The sequence below is a fragment of the Homo sapiens genome, chromosome 8, assembly GCF_000001405.40.
Source record: "Homo sapiens chromosome 8, GRCh38.p14 Primary Assembly".
NCBI classification, from domain to species: Eukaryota; Metazoa; Chordata; class Mammalia; order Primates; family Hominidae; genus Homo; species Homo sapiens.
The window spans coordinates 36609808-36627675 of NC_000008.11; the positions used below are offsets into that span (position 1 = coordinate 36609808).

At 36.5% G+C, this 17868-nt stretch overlaps 1 annotated feature.

Moving 5' to 3' along the window:
- Window positions 16318–16991: an enhancer, noted in NCBI's record as "OCT4-H3K27ac hESC enhancer chr8:36483643-36484316 (GRCh37/hg19 assembly coordinates)". NCBI's record gives its function as "activates a minimal SCP1, AML or CMV promoter by ChIP-STARR-seq in primed H9 embryonic stem cells {active_cell/tissue: H9 hESC(primed)}" and the evidence as "EXISTENCE:reporter gene assay evidence [ECO:0000049][PMID:30033119]".

Sequence of the window (17868 nt, forward strand, 5' to 3'; positions counted from 1 at the left end):
CACTTAATATTTTAAATACTTTCTCATATCATTAAGATTCTTTATAAATATAATATTCAAATGTGGAATAATATTTTACTTTTTCTGGTGGGATCATAACTAATTTAACTATTCTTTAATTTTTTTTATAAATGAATATGCTTATGAATTAGTCTTTTGCAACATTTCTGATTACTTTCTTAGAGTGAACTCTTAGTAGGGGAGAAACTACTTAAAAGGGATAAATATTTTTAATGTTATCAAGTCTTACTACTAACTAGCTTCCTAAGAAGTTTTGTGTAATTTATATTCATAGAATTTATAAGAAGAACAATTTCAAAGTACCTAACATTAATAAAATTTATTTATTTGTTGTTCATTTATGAGAAAAAGGCTAATCTCAATATTTTTATTTACATTTCTGTGGTTACTAGAGTCATTAATATTTCACATTTCCATTATCTTTTATATTTTATGCATTTATATTTTCTCTTTTCTCTTTTTGGTCTTGTTCTCATCTATTTGCATAACATTTTTATACATTAATATATTAACCATTTATCTATACTTGTTTCAAATATTTAACTTACCTACAGATTTTAGAAAGAATATTTGACCTAATATCAGCAACAGTAAAGGCTCTGAAGCCAAAAGATAAATCTATGATAGGATAGAAAAGTACCTTCCTTCAGAGAGCAGAAAGTACTAACAATTGGCCCAGGTGGGAAAACTAAAGCAAAGTGAATTAAAAATTTGCCTGAGTAGAGTTCAAGTGGAGCATAAAGCATTCAGGATTTTACAGATCAAAAGGAAGTAGGATTTAGTAAAGCAAGTTACCCAGACTTGTGCAGATTTTTCTAGAAAAGCAAGGTCAGTCATGGCTGAGACACCAGATGCAGAGCATAAGACAGCCATTTATCTTTAGTGAATTAAGGATTAGACCATCTTTGATATCTTAGACATTTTTGTTTCTAACCTGCACCCTTTAACCTCACACATCTCTGCTCTAAAGCCATAAACATTAAGGAAATACAAAAAGATTTTTTAATCTAATATCAGAGGAGAAGTCAGGGGAAAAGGACAGATGCTAAAGAGAACACAATTAAATTTTAAGACTTCTGTGAAGCTTGGGAATTGAGAAAATATCCCCTGAAGAGCACTTTGGTCAGGGCAGAGAAAAGAGAGAGCTGTGGAGACAAAGTTAGCCGTGGGGTTTAGGACACCCTATCCCAAAATAATGGCACTTTGGAATATTGATTATTTTAAGCTGAAGGATTTTGAGAAAACAACAGAAGCAGGAGGGTTATTCTCACCCTCTCCTGAAGCAAATCATAAAACCTAGGATGGATTTTCTGACCTTCCCTGAAGTGGGGATGAGACCCTCATTAGAGAGGTGCCCTCCCTGTAAGTAAAGGCAAGGAACATCCTTGCCTCTGAAGACACAGGGTCAGAGAGAAGAAACTGAACAAATGGCCTTGCTAAGTATCCCCCAGTTCATTATCCTTAGATCACATCTCTTTTGTCCAATTTCTTTACAACTGTCCACTTGTCGTCAAACTTAGCATATAAATACAACACAAGTTTAACTGTTTCTTAGGGCCTTCATTTCCTTATGAGGGTCTCATGTCACATAAAACTTATATTAAATAAGTTGACATGTGTTTTTTTTTTTTTTTTTTTGTTAGTCTGTCTTTTGTTTCAGGGCTTAAGTCATGAACTTAGATGGGTGAGGAAAAGGTGTTTCTCCTCCCCAACATTAGTCTTGAGACCCTAAATATAGGTGTTAACCCAACCACAGACCAAGTTAGATCTGGGTTTCCCTAGTGAGTTGAATAAAAAAGTCAACAGACTTCAAAAAGCAAAGCCTTTAAAACCCAAACCTAAAATATAGAAGAGGAGGATCTATATTTTCCTTACAAAATCATGGTCTTTGTCATATGTGCATATTCTCAGGATGGAGGCCAGCTGTGCACCCTGGGAGCTGGCACAGACACAGGAACTCATGCCTCCTGGATCTGTCACATTTCCCAACCAGAGTTGAATGCCTTGAAATAGTGCCCATTGAGAATGTCCTTATTAACAACATACCATGCCACTAGACTGTTTTCCGTTTAATTTTATCTGAAATTTATGATGATAAACCTGTTAGCCAATTTCCTGAAAGATATTGCCACCACAGTGTCTTTCTCTTTCCAAGCTCACTTTTTGCATATAGAGTCAATTGCCATTCCACAATGGGAGGAAAAAGATTACCTTCATTATCTCGCTTTCTTTATTTATTCAGATTTCCCTCAGGCATTTTAATGTTGCCCAAAAGTGTCTTGCTCTTAGTAATTCTGTTCTTTTAATATCATGGAAATTGGCTTTAGGATGCAGTGCGTGAAAAGGTAAAAGGAAAAGTTTACTTTAGTTATCCCAAAATTAAAGTGGTTCATGAAAAGGAAATCTGTTTTGTTGTTGTGGTGCTGGTGGTGGTTGTTTGCACGAACACTTTTCTCAAAGTCTGTTTTTATAAAGGTCTTAAATCTTAGAGCTATTCGTCTTGCTTGCTCACCACATCGTTCCTCCTCCTGCATGGAATTCCTCTAACTGCTTTTCTTGTCCATTTCAATCTCAGCCATTTCAATTCTCCTCCAATGCATTTTCACCATCACAACAGTACTCTGAAACCACCTCTGTACTTTCATTCAGTATCACAGAGGATATCTGAGTATCATCCTTCCCCCATTCATTTATTATTTTATTCAACTAACTAATTAGAATCCCTGTTGCAAGTCAGAGTCAAGGAAAATGCAGTCTCATTCATTCACTTACACTGTTTTAGGTGACCTTTTAAAATTGTATGGATAATTTTAAGAAATTTACCAGTTTCATCTGGCTTTCAAATGTATTACTTATGGTAATTCACAATACATGTTAAAATCTCAATAGTTATTTCTTCCTTTTTAGTTTTTAATTTGTAGCTACTTCTACCTTTTCATTCTTTATTTTGCCTGTTAGCATATTTTCCCTCTTTCTTCTTGGTCAGTCTTGACAGAAGTTTGTATGTCTTAATAATCTTTTGGAAGAGTCAGTTTCCCATTTGCTAATCTTCTTTCTCATTTGTTTATGATCTAAATTGTGTTATATCTTCTTTTACCTTGGTTATATTCTTGTTTCTTGCTTCTTTGAGTTTGATATGTTTTTTCCTCTCTAACTTTCTGACTTGAGTGTGAAAATAATTTACCTTCCACCTTTCTTCTTTCTTGATAATTGTACTTATAGCTCTGCAATCTTTTTTAAGCACTGCTTTAGCTCTTTCCCAAAATTTGATTTTTAACATGCTTATGATCACTAATTCTGAAAACTTCTTAATTTTCTTTAATATTTCCTTTTTAACCAAAGGGTTACTTAATAATCTTTATTATTTAGTTTTCAAAAATATTGGATTTTATAAAAACGATATTTTGTCTTATATTGATTCTTTAACATTTATTGAGACTTCTGTTATGTCCTAATACAGACCTTTTTTTTTTGGCCAAATGTTTGTACATGTTTAAAAAAATACCACCTCTGTTGAGTGTAGATTGTTTTTAATGCTTTTTAGTATTCAAAATCTTTGCTTCTTCTGCTAGTTTAAGGTCTTAATTTCTAAAAACAGGTGTTACGATTTCTGATAACTGTTCTCTCTTTTTGTCATCATTTCTGCCAGTCAATGTTTCATACATTTGGAGGTTATATTTCTAGATGCATATATGTGTATGCCACTGTTTTATTATATCTTATACAAGTATATAATATTCTCCTTTGAACATTATGCTACTTCTGCCTTAAATTTTATTTACTCACATATTATGAATACAATGCCAGCTTTCCTTTGGTTCTGTTTTCTTTGAGATATTTTATATCCCTTCACTTCTAATCCTTCTCTTCTTGTTTTAAGTATGTGTCTTTCAGGCAAGTTTTTAGGTTTTGTTTTTAATTTAATCTAAGAGTTTTCATTTTTTTAATTGGTATGTCTAATCCATTTATAACTACCCTATTTTTAGTAGATTTATGTTTCATCATATAATTTTTCATTTTCCATTAACTTTTCTCATTAAATTTTTTTCTGAGTAAAATAAAAAACAAATGTAGACTTAATTAAGAAATGGCTTTATTCAAAAAGATTATAACAATAAGTAAAGAAAATTATAAAAGGGAAAATTCTCAGTCCATAAGATTGGGCAGAAAGGGATTTTCTTTTATAAGGAGGAATAAGTATGCCTACAAAAACTTGGTATAGGATACTGGAATAAAAGGGTAAAGCAATGGAACCGTTAAGCAGGAATGCCTTTCCTTAAATTAAGTTCAGCAGATTCTTGGGAGAGTCCATAAAGGAGACCCTAAACATTCAGCATTCCCCACTACAATGGTGGCTCAGGCTGAGGAAGCCTCACAGTTCAAGGCCCTAAGGAAGGAGAGATGGCTGACAAAAGTTTAGTCAAATCAAGTTAGCAGGTATTTTTTTCTGATTGATTGTGGGTACAAACAGTATAGCTTATTATTTTTGAGGCAAAGAATGGGAATGTAGAGAGTCTGTTTCTGGCCTAGTCATAGGTTTAAAAAAAGAGGGGAAATCTGCGAGTCTTACGAAAATCACATGGGGAAGCGTATTTCTTTGCAATAAGCCCTTTCTTGGGACACAAAAAAGTGGGAAGAGTAGTCTCAGATAGTTCAACATTGTCACCTTCTTTCAATTGAATATACCATTTTCATTTGAAAGTCATATCTTATTGTATTAGATCTTTTTTAAAGATCTATTCTCTGTTCATTTTAAGTAAATTTATCAATATTTATATACTTATCAATATTGTATCAATATTTATACAAGATAAGTATTTTATTATACCCTTGTGTTTCCTGTTCTCAAAATGTGTCTTCGTAAACACTAGCATAAACAAGCTTATATGTTTTTCCTTATCTTTATCATTACAGATTCTAAGATGATATGGCTAATTTCTTCCATACCTTTTTACTTTTAATATTTACCAAATGTAATTCCTGATCACAATGTGATTCATAATTATCTGTCTTTCTCTTCTATCTTAAAAATGTTGTTTTTAGCAAAAAAATTTAGACATGAATTATGTACTTTCTCAAAAAGTCTGTAAGCTATGTGATATAATATGTGCTCTGTACACCTTTCATTAATGACAAAGGATATGTCAAGTGGACGTTCACATAATTATATTCATCAATTGTAACTACAACGTGCCATAGACAGTTTTCTCACATCTGTTAAGAAAATATTACGTATTTCCTCTATCTGGCTGTTGATGTAAAAATATTAATATGATTACACACACACCCACACATAAAAAAATGGAAAGACATCTCATACTTATGGATTGGTAGAATTAATATTGTTAAAATGACAATACTACCCAAAGCAATCTACAGATTCAATGCAGTCCATATAAAAATACGAAAGACATCCTTCACAGAAATAGAAAAAAAATCCTAAAATTTGTATAAAACCACAAAAGACCTCAAATAGCCAAAGCAATCCTGAACAAAAAGAACAAAGCTGGAGGCATCATGCTACCAGACTTCAAAATATAGTCCAAAGCTGAAGTAATCTAAACAGCATGGTACTAGTATAAAAACAAGCACAAACAAACACATCAACCAATAGGACAGAACAGAAAACCCAGAAATTAATCCACCTATCTACAGCCAACTGATTTTTTTACCAAGATGCCAAGAATACTCATTGGGGAAAGGGTAGACTCTTCATAAAGTGCAGTGGGAAAACTGGATATCCACACAAAAATGAAACTAGACCCTTTTATGAATAAGACTAAATGCACTGGCAACAGAAGCAATAATAAACAAATGGGATTATATCAAACTAAAAAGTTTCCTTTTCACAGCAAAGGAAAATGCCAACAGAATGAAAAGACAACCCATGGAATGGGAGAAAATATCTGCATACTACTCATCCAACAGGGGATTAATATCCAGAATATACAAGGAAATCAAACATTGCAACAGCACAAAAAACCCCAATCCAATTAAAAATGGGAAAAATGATCTGAACAGACATTTCTCAACAGAAGGCATACAAATGGCCAACAAATATATAAGAAAATGCTCAACATCACTAATCATCAGGAAAATGCAAATCAAAACCACAATGAGGTATCATCTCACTCCAGTTAGGATGGCTATTATCAAAAAGACAAAAAATAATAGGTACTGGGGAGGAAGCAGAGATAAGGGAACTCTTATACACTGTTGGTGGGAATGTAATCTAGTACAACCACTATGGAAAACAGTATGGAGATTCCTCAAAAAACTACAAATAGAACTATCATATGATCCAGCAAAGTCATTACTGGGAATTTATACAAAGAAAAGGAAATCAGTATATGAAAGAGACCTCTATACCCCCATGTTTATTGCAGCACTATTCCCAATAGCCAAGATATGGATTCAAAATAGGTATCCAACAACAGATGAACAGATACAGAAAATGTGGTGGAAACACACCATGGAATACTATTCATACATTAAAAGAATGAAATCCTGACATTCATAGCAACATGGATGAAAGACATTATTCTAATTAATGTCTTAATTAATGTTAAGTGAAAGAAGCCAGGAACAGAATGTTAAATATTGCATGTCCTCATTCATATGTTGAAGCTAAAAAAAAAGTTGACCTTATAGAAGTAAAAAGTAGGACAGAGAATACTACAGGCTGGAAAGAGTAGGTAGAAGGAAGGGAAAGGAGGAGTAAGTTCTATACCACTGTAGGATGAATATAGCTAATAATAATATATACTCTCAAATAACTAGAAGGAGAATATTGAATGTTCTCAACATGAAGAAATGATAAATGTTTGAGATGATGGATATGCTAATTACCCTCATCTAATTACTATAAATTAAATGTATAAAAACATCACTGTGTACCCCATAAATATGTACAATTTTTATTAGTCAACTTTTAAAATAAGTTAAAAATTAAAAATATATATTTAATTGGATATCTGGAAAGATCAAATCAATTAATGGATATAAAGAATTTATTATTATGACTAAGTAAGTATTCAATTAGTATTTGTTTAATCAATTCATACCATGGTAAGCAATAATTCAAGATATTTACTTCATCAGCCTCTATCCGTTTACTGTTATTCCAAACAATTTAATATATAAGTCAATTATTTATTACATTATTGGGTTGCATTATTGAGGTTTCCAAACACATGACCTAGATCAGCATTATAGTTTTTTTTATTTCCTCATAGTTTTTAGGAGAATATTAATAAGAAAGTAATTTGCCTGCTTTTTAATTGGGTTGTTTTTCGCTTGTTGAATTATTTAAGTTCCTTATAGATTCTGAATATTAGACCTTTGTCAGATGGATAGTTTGTGAATATTCTCTCCTATTCTGTAGGTTGTCTGTTTCCTCTGTTGATGGTTTCTTTTGCTGTGCAGAAGCTCTTTAGTTTAATTAGGTCCCACCTGTCATTTCTTATTTTTGTTATAACTGCTTTTGAGAACTTAGTTATAAATTCTTTGCCTAGACCAATGTCCAGAATGGAATTTCCTGAGTTTTCTTCTAGGATTTTTATGGTTTGAGGTCTTACATTTAAGTCTTTAACCTATCTTGAGTTATTTTTTGTATATGGTGAAATGTAGGGGTCCACTTTCATTCTTCTACATATGGCTCACCAGTTATCCCAGCACCGCTTATTGAATAGGGAGTTCTTTCCCTGTTGCTTATTTTTGTCAACTTTGTTGAGATCAGATGATTGTAGGCATGTAGCTATATTTCTGAGTTCTCTGTTCTTTTCCATTGGTCTATGTGTCTGTTTTTGTAACAGTACTATGCTGTTTTAGTTACCATAGCCTTCTAGTACAGTTTGAAGTTGGGTAATGTGATTCCTCTGGCTTTGTTCTTTTTTGCTTAGGATTGCTTTGGCTATTCGGGCATGTTTTTGCTTTTGTATGAATTTTAGAATACTTTTTTCTAGTTCTGTGAAAACTGATATTGGTAGTTCCATAGGATAGCATTGAATCTGTAGATTGCTTTGGGCAATACGGCTATTTTAATGATATTGATTCTTTCAGTTCATGAGCATAGGTTTTTCCATTTGTTTGTATTATATACACTTTTTTTCAGCAGTGTTTTGCAGTTCTTGTAGAGATCTTTCACTTTTTAGTTAGATAAATTTCAATGTATTTTCTTGTGGCTACTGTAAGTGAAATTGTATTCTAGATTTTGCCCTCACCTTGAATATTGTTGGTATATAGGAATGCCACTGATTTTTTTACATTGATTTTGTATCCTGAAACTTTACCAAAGTTATTTATCAGACTAGGAACTTTTTGGTGGCGTCCTTAGGGTTTCCTAGCTATAGAATCATATTGTCAGCAAAGAGAGATAGTTTGACTTCTTCTCCTCCTATTTGAAAGCCTTTTATTTCTTTCTCTTGCATGATTGCTCTGGCTAGGACTTCCAGCACTACGTTGAATAGGAGTGGTGAGAGTGGACATCCTTTTCTTGTTCCTGTTCTTAAAGGAAATGTTTCCAGTTTTTGCCTGTTCAGTATGATGTTGTCTGTGGATTTGTCATAGATGACATTTCTCAAAAGAAGACATACAAATGGCCAACAAACATACAAAAAAATGCTAAAAATCACTAATCATCATGGAAATGCAAATCAAAACTACAATAAGATACCATCTCATGCCAGTCAGAAAGGCTACTATTAAAAAGTCAAAAAATAACAAGATGTTTATGAGGCTGCAGAGAAAGGGGAATGCTTATACACTGTTAATGGGGATGCAAATTAGTTCAGCCACTGTGGAAAACAGTTTGGACATTTCTCAAAGAACTTAAAACAAAACTACCATTTGACCCAGAAATCTCATTATTGGGTATATACACAAAATAAAATAACTCATTCTACCAAAAACACACATGCACTTGTATGTTCATCACAGCACTATTCACAAGAGAGCAAAGACATGGAATCAATCTAGGTGCCCATCAACAGTGGATTGGCTAGAGAAAATTTGGTACATGTATACCAAGGAATACTATGCAGCCATATAAAAGAATGGAATTATGTTCTTGGCAGAAACTTGGAACCAGCTGGTTATTATCCTAAGCAAATTAATGCAGGGACAGAAAAACAAATACCACATGTTCTCACTTATAAGTGGGAGTTAAACATTGGGTACACATGGGCATAAAGACAGAAACAATGGACACTGGGGACTACCAGAGGGGAAGGGGAAGGATGGGGGCAATGGCTAAAAAACTACCTATTGAGTACTATGCTCATTACCTTGGTGACAGCATCATTTGTACCCCAAACCTCAGCATCACACAATATACCCATGTGATATACCCACACATGTACCCCCTAAATCTAAAATAAATTTGACATTTTTAAAAAAGAAGGAAATTAAAGTCTAGTTAAGTGTCTACATAATTCTACCCTTCCCCCCTGCTCACTACATCCTATTTCTCAGCTTCCATTCTCTATGATCTTAGTTTTGGACATCCTATCAGATAAACTGTTCACCCTAACACACCTATGAACGTTATAAAAACAAAGTTTTAAACTGTACCATTTTAAGTGTCTGCCTTGGACAGAAAGGAGACACGTTCTGACCCAGTTTTACTTGGGGACCATATATCTTGGTGAACAGCCGTTTTTAAAAGAACACAGTAATTCCCAAAATACCAGTTAACCCACTTCACACTGTTACCACACACACAGCCATTTATCCAGTCTGCAAACAATTGCTGGCCTAGTAAACAGAGTGACTGACAGGACAACCCTGATTACTGACCTCTCCAGATTTACAGTTTGGCATTGAAGATATGCATACAGCAGGCAATTACAACAAATTAGAAAGTGGGCTAGAAGTCAGGAGAAAGGGTTTCCCAGGTCAGTGGGACCGCAGAGCAAGGGATCCACTTAAAAACAGCATTTGGGACTTAAACACTGATATCCATTTCCCAAGAATCTCCCCCAGAAAACTTGTTTATTGCAGTCAGCTGTTTTAAATCCTGAAAATAAGTAAATATATATAAATAAGATCATTTTCAAAAATTCTTTAATTGCTTGGAACACCTTCTCAACCATCTAATCCTCCCTGGAGCTCCTGGTAATTACAGCACATTTTCTCCCTCAGTTGTCAGTGGAGAAAAATCCTTTTGTGGGCCATCACTGTCTTATTGTTAGGCTAGTATTAATATATTTTTCTAACAAACCAGCCAAATCAAAAGCCTTGCTACAGCTCTGATACTGAAGAAGTATCTGGCTAACCCAAGTTGTTGTCAGTGGAGTGCAAAGTTCACACCAAAGGAGCAGGCTGTCTGGGAGATAGTGAGTACCACTGCAATAGGAACTAGCTAAGCAAAGACTGATAGTCATTGCTTGGGGACAGGGGACATCAAGGAATGATGGATTTATCCACAGAGTGGAAAGTTAAAAGAATGAGTGATCTCTAATAATCACAATCTTGCAAATTTAGAAAGGATACAAAATTATTATAAAATATATGTGTTTGGGGATATGTACACACACACATATACACACAGTAATAGGAATCTGATATAGCTTGGGCATTTGTCCCCACCAATATCTCATGTTGAAATAAATTCCTTAATGCTGGAGGTGGGGCCTAGTAGGAGGTGATTGGACCATGAGAGTGGATTTCTTGTGAATGGTTTAGAATCACCTTTTTGGTGCTGTCCTCATGATTCTGAGTGAGTACTTGTGAGATCTAGTCATTAAAAGTGTGTAGTACCTCCTCCTTCCTCTCTTGCTTCTACTTTTGACATGTTACATGCCTGCTCTCCTTTGCCTTCTGCTGTGATTGACACTTCCTGAGGCCTCCCCAGGAAGCTGCTCTGCCTCCTGTATAGCCTGCAGCACCACGATCCAATTAAAACTCTTTTTCTTTATAAATTACCCAGTCTCATTGCTATTTCTTTATAGCAATGCAAGAAAGGCCTAAAACAGAATCACAGAAGCACAGAAAAATATTATGAGAGTCCAGGAACACAAAAGATTAATTTTATTTTCATTTTAGAGGAAATTGGGAAAGCTTCATGCAAAAGGTAGTATTTGAGTTGTACTTACTAGTATGAAAACACCTATGGTATTTGGAGTTGTAAAACAGAGCATTTTAGGTGAAGAGAACATCAGAGGCCATCAACAAAATCACAGATAGGAAATTACAGAACATGTTAAGCTCCTCCTGGTTCACTGTAGCTGGAATAGAGACAAATGAGGGCTCTTAAAATGAACATAGGAAGAGAAATTCAATTGTCAAGTCACCCGGGTAAGGGACAAGGCTCCATGATTCTATTTCGGTATTCCTTCAAAATAATCTGATTCACATTTTATCACGATCCTTTCTAGAGAATATCCCTTTGGTCTGAAACTAAAATATACAATTCTATGTTGAAATAACTTCATCTGCATGGATTTTAGTACTTGGAACCTACCCAGAAATTCATTCTGGACACATAGACAGGTATCTCCCCAATACGTATGTGCGTGTGTGTTTTCATTTATCTTTGGAGAAGACTTGATATATAATATTGTCCATAGTCCCTTTTGTAGCCTGGAGATACCAGAGCCAAAGTGGGTTATGACCAGAAGGGTCAAGTGTCCCCTCATCTGAATCTACCTGCCAGTAAAATTATTGGCATGATTCCGGATGTAGTGCTGAGCTCTGGAGGACATCACAGATTTCTTCTCTTATTTTTCTGGAAGCAGATACCAACTATTAGCTGCCGAGATCAGCTCGGTCGGAGAGACCCTAACCCAGCAGCACTAGAGGAATTAAAGACACACACACAGAAATATAGAGGTGTGAAGTGGGAAATCAGGGGTCTCACAGCCTTCAGAGCTGACAGCCCCAAACCGAGATTTACCCACATATTTATTAACAGCAAACCAGTCATTAGCATTGTTTCTATAGATATTAAATTAACTAAAAGTATCCCTTATGGGAAACGAAGGGATGGGCAGAATTAAAGGAATAGCCTGGACTAGTTAACTGCAGCAGGAACATGCCCTTAAGACATAAATCGCTCATGCTATTGTTTGTGGCTTAAGAATGCCTTTAAGTGGTTTTCAGCCCGGGGCAGGCCGGGTGTTCCTTGCCCTCATTCCCGTAAACCCACCACCTTCCAGCTTGGGCGTTAGGGCCATTATGAACATGTTACAGTGCTGCAGAGATTTTGTTTATGGCCAGTTTTGGGGGGGGACTTGCTCCCAATAATCAGCTTCAAATTATTGCTGGTAATTTACCAACAATTTTAGCAGGTCCGCCTAAGAAATGTTTTAAAGATGGAGACAGAGGCTAAATATAGTGGCTCATGCCTGCAATCACATTGCTTTGGGAGACCGAGGCAGGAGGATCACTTGAGACTGGAGTATGAGACTAGCCTGAGCAACGTAGTGAGATCCTATCTCTATAAAAAAAAATTAGTCAAGTGTGGTGCCATGCACCTGTAGTCCCAGCTCCTTGGGAGTCTGAGGCAGGAGAATAGCTTAAGCCCAGGAATTCAAGGTTGTAGTGCTATGATTATGCCACTTCCCACTAGCCTGGGTGACAGAGTGAGACTCTATCTCAACAAAGAAAAGAAAAGAAAATAGAAAGAAAAGAAAAGAAAAAAGAAAGAAAAGAAAAGAAAAGAAAGAAAAGAAAAGAATGTATTTCCTGGAGTATCTAAAATCAGCAGATCAGCACTGTTGGTTTAACAAATACCAAATTTAAGCCAGTATGGCTAAAAAAGACCCTTGAACATTTAAGGATCCAAATTATCCATGTAGAAACATACATTATCTCATTCAATAATCATTACATATCATGTCCTAGAGCAACTATGAAAAAAATGTTTAACTCCTTGACAATATATCAGTGAATAAAAATTCAAAGGTGGAACCCAAAGCAAAACTGTTGTGCAGCATGAAATATTACACAATTGCATATACAACTGCACTGAGTAATCCAAAATTTGAGACTCCTCCTCTAATTGGCAAATGCAGCTTTACAATGCTTTAGAATGGATGATAATGAGGTATGAGGTGGAACTAGACTCTGGAGGCAGGGTTTGGACATGGGACCAAATCAAAGAGTAACTAAAACAGGGATGGGGCAGAAGCAGCTTTCCATAAGATACACCCACCAGTGTGCCATGCCAGTTTACCATTGCCATGGCAACACCCAGGAGTTACCACTCTTTCCATGGTAATGACCTGATGACCCAGGTCATTACCCAGTAGTGACTTCCGCATTTCTGCATAAACACCCCTTAATCTACATGTAAAACACCTCTAGACATTTCTTCATAAACCACCCCTTAATCTACATGCAATTAAAAGTAAGTATAAATCTGACAGCGAACTGCCCTGAGCTGCTACTCTCAGTTCACTGCCGATGGGGCAGGCCCGCTCTGCAGGAGCAGTGACAGAGCTGTAACACTGCTGCTTCAATAAGGCTGTTTTCTTCCACTCTACCACCAGCTCACCCTTGAATTCTTTCCTGGGTGAAGCCAAGAACCCTCACAGGCTAAGTCACACTTGGGGCTCACCAGTCCTACATCAATAATAGTAATTCATTTAATTTGTCCAAACATATATATTAAAGCATTGTTTCACACACTGGAAATACAGCTATAAACATAAACAGCAGAAATGTTTCTGTCCTCATGGAACTTATATTCCAGTGAGGAAATAGCAGTTATAAATAAAATGAGCCAATAAAGAGTAGGTTAGATGGTGACCAGAGTTATGGAGAAACAGAAAGCAAAGAAGGATAAAAAAATTCAGAGGCAAAGCACAGTGGGGAGGGGGTTCTGTTATTTTCATTTTATGTAGGGTTGTCAGGCGAGGCCTCCCTGATTACATGATTCATGAGCAGAAAGTTGAAGGAACTGAGTAATAAAGCCAATTTATCCGTAGGGAGAGAATTCCTGGCAGAGGAAATAGCATGATCAAATATCCTGAGGTGAGAATATGCTTGCAATGTTCAAAAAACAGCAAGGAGACTATTTTGGCCAGAAGAGAATGAAAGGAAGGAAAGTTGAAAGAGGGCGGGGGGCAGTGGCTCACACCTGTAATCCCAGCACTTTGGGAGGCCAAGGCAGGTGGATCACCTGAGGTCGGGAGTTCGAGACCAGCCTGACCAACATGGAGAAACCCCATCTCTACTAAAAATACAAAATTAGCTGGGCATGGTGACACATGCCTGTAATCCCAGCTACTGGGGAGACTGAGGCAGGAGAATTCCTTGAAACCAGGAGGTGGAGGTTGTAGCGACCCGAGATTGTGCCATTGCACTCCAACCTGGGCAACAAGAACAAAACTCCATCTCAAAAAAAAAAAAAAAAAAAAGAAAGAGGTGAAATAAGTGAGGCTGCAGATGACCCGGCTCACATAGGCCCGTATAGGCTATTGTATAAATTTGCCATTTAATCTGATTAAGGTGAGAGGACACCACAGACGTTAGTGTAGAAGAGGGACAGGGTCTCACCTGTGTTTTTAAAGGATCATCTCTCCGCACTGTTTCGAGAACAGACTATAGGGAGGCTTGGGTATGGGAAAGAACAGAAGCAGGGAGAATGCTAAGGAAGCCCTTGCACCACCCAATGAAAGATGATGACTTGAGGCAGAGAGCTAGGAGGAAACAGAAAGAATTAGCTAGATTTTGTATGTGTTTTGATGGCAAGGATCTGCTGCAGATTGCATATGAGTTGTGATTTTGAAAAAAGGAGTCAAAGATGGCTTTGTCTTAGGGATGGAGTTGCCATTAGCTAGCTAGTAGGATCTTTGCAGAAGGGGAAATTAGAAACCTTGGTTTGAAACATGTCAAGTGTGAGGTGCCTATTAAATATCAAAATGTAGCCATTAGGTAGGCAGGAGTGAAGGAGGTATTTAAACTTGGAGGAAGAGTTCACAGCCACAGATGTAGCACTGCCCATCAGCAAAAGGATGGTATTTAAACCTCTGAGATCAGAAGAGTCTTTAAAGAAATCGGTGTAGGCAGAGAAGACACCATGCAAGGAAGCAAAGAAGAATCCATCAAATTGAGAAAGAAGCCCCAAAGTATATATTATCACATCACTAACTCTGCATTCACAGTCTTTTTGTTTTAAGACTATTTTTCATTATTTTCAGTGTGTCCTGTCACTATATAGATTGTCCTCTTGTGTAGATGCAACCGATGCCAATGACTCCTGTCTGATTCATTCATTCAATACAGATTCTCGAGAATCTAAAATGTGCGATGTTTTTTACTTCTCCACCAAAACACAAAGTGCATTTTCTCTAGGACTTTTGGACAGAGATGAGACAACAGACAAGGGCTCATTCTTGTCATAGCTGAGTCCCTTAATGGCTCAATCTTTGCACTAGGTGTAACGGTTAGTTCATAGGTGAAAAATGGCCACACTTCAGAAATTGAAGCACAAAGGCCCAAATAAAAAAGCAAAGCATAGATGGGTTAATAAAGACTGATCTGGAAAGCTAAGATGCCTCCTCCTCATTCCTTCAGTAATGTGCTATGGCAGGCTGATTTTCTTTAGACTCTGGAAACATTAATTCAATAAATTACTTCTATTCATTAATTTAATTATAAATTCATGACTGTAATTTTAAAGCCATCTTTTTTTCCACCCTCTGCTCCAGTGACATCTGAGTGCTATTGATCGTAAATGTCAAATTAATTTTCTAGGCATATTTTCCTTGTGTTGGGATCAATACATAACTTGAAGAGCTCCTTTGATAGGGCATTGAAAGTTATTCCTCACTCCTGTGACATTTTGGCTGATTTTCCCACCCTCCCTTCCGAATTTCAGTTAGACATCAGCAGCTTTCACTTCCTGGGTGTTTACAAGAAAATATAGTCATGCTTTGTAAACCTGAACTTCCAGACTAAGAAAAAGAGATGTGAGATCTTGAATCATATGCATATGAACTTAACTTTGAACAAATCCAATATAAGAAAATCCAAATTTACAAAAGCTCGTTACATTGCTGAAATTGTTAATAATTTATTGATTTTTTTACAAACACATTCTTAGTTTTAAAAAACAATTTTATATAAGATCCCTTCATTCATTTAAAAATGCTTTATTTATAGCTTTTTAAGAATTCAGATTTTGCATATAGAAAAGTCTTTTCAATGAGTTCTAGAGTTTAAGAGATTTAGAAAAATCAATTTGCTTAAAACATTACTTTCACATTCTAGTCATTTATTCATTTACTGAATCAATCATTTATTGATTCAGTAAACATGATTAAGAATCTACTATATACTAGACTTGTAGTCAATCGGGCATGGGAGTTGGGTCTACAGACCAAAGCCCTCCCACCACCAGTGTTGTGAAAACAGAAAGAGATTCTGGAAAACAGTATTGCCTAGGATGGTTCTTCGCATTGTTGAAGGTTATCTAATGTAAGCCCCTCATCAACTTCCTCAATAAAATCCCCAGGAAAGCCTGCATTTCTTACTCTGATCTTTGAGTTAAATTCTTTGGGGAAAACCCAAGAGTCACCAAGTTCTTTTTTCAAGGTTGGCATGGGCTAGAAACAGAGGCAGCATCAGCATGCGCATATGCAGAGGTTGGAATAGCGGAGATGACTCACACTAGGTTGCCCTTCATAAACACTTCTCATGTTAGAATGTAAGTGACTGCAGGCGTGGAGCTATATTTCCAACTACATTCGGTTCCTTTATGGTGAGTTGTGCTATTTTATTTGTCACTCTGGGTGCCTAGCAGTGTGCCTGGTCCTCATTCTTAACTTATAGGTAATTAATGAATGCTCACTGACAGGATGATTGGTTGCTGAATATTTCTCTGTTTCCCACCTGAGAAGTAGCAGGGCATATTCCCAGAGTGACAGCCAGTGCTGACCCGAGACAGAACTGTGAAGCAGGATGCAAAACAACATAAGCAGTGCATGGAGGCACTGAGGCCAAGAGTAGGCAGACCCGATTCCCTCCATGGTGAGGCTGAGTGGCACCGTAGATGCTTCCTCACATTGCGACTTAGGCCAAGAGACGCAGGCTAAACCCAGAGGCTGATGCAACTAACATGATGGTGGCAACTGAGGATACCAATACCAATAGCTGGTATTTCTCTCTTTTTTTTTTTTTGAGACAGAGTCTTGCTCTGTTGCCCAGGCTAGAGTGCAATAGTGCCATCTTGCCTCACTGCAACCTCTACCTCCTTGGTTCAAGCAATTCTCCTGCCTCAGCCTCCTGAGTAGCTGGGATTACAGGCACGTACCACCACACCCAGCTAATTTTTGTATTTTTAGTAGAGACAGGGTTTCACCATATTGACCAGCCTGGTCTCCAACTCCTTCCTGACTTCAAGTAATCCGCCCACCTCAGCCTCCCAAAGTGCTAGGATTACAGGTGTGAGCCACCATGCCTGGAAACAGCTGGTATTTCTCAAAGGGGAAAAACAAGGAAGACAATGCCTTTATTGCCACATGGCTCCCCATCTTTTCCTATTCACCATCATCTTCTCCGTCATCTCGTGCTATAGTATTTTGAATTTGCATCTCCTAATGAGTCAGTGAACATGGGGGAGATATTTCAGCCCATGCTTGTCAAAAATCAATGTGAAGGAAATATAACTAGGTTCTAAAACCAGCCTGTCTTATGTTCTCATTAAAAAACAAAGAGAGAAAAATAATATTTAGAATGCCTTTCATGAAAATGGAACATTTCCATTTTCAAAGACTTTGCATCATTGTAACTTGAATTCTCACAGCGATCTGTCAAGCTGTAAAGAGGCAGAATAATGTCATGAAAGGAATATGGAATTGGATTCAAAAGAGATGGAAGGTATGTCCTAGCTAACCGTACACC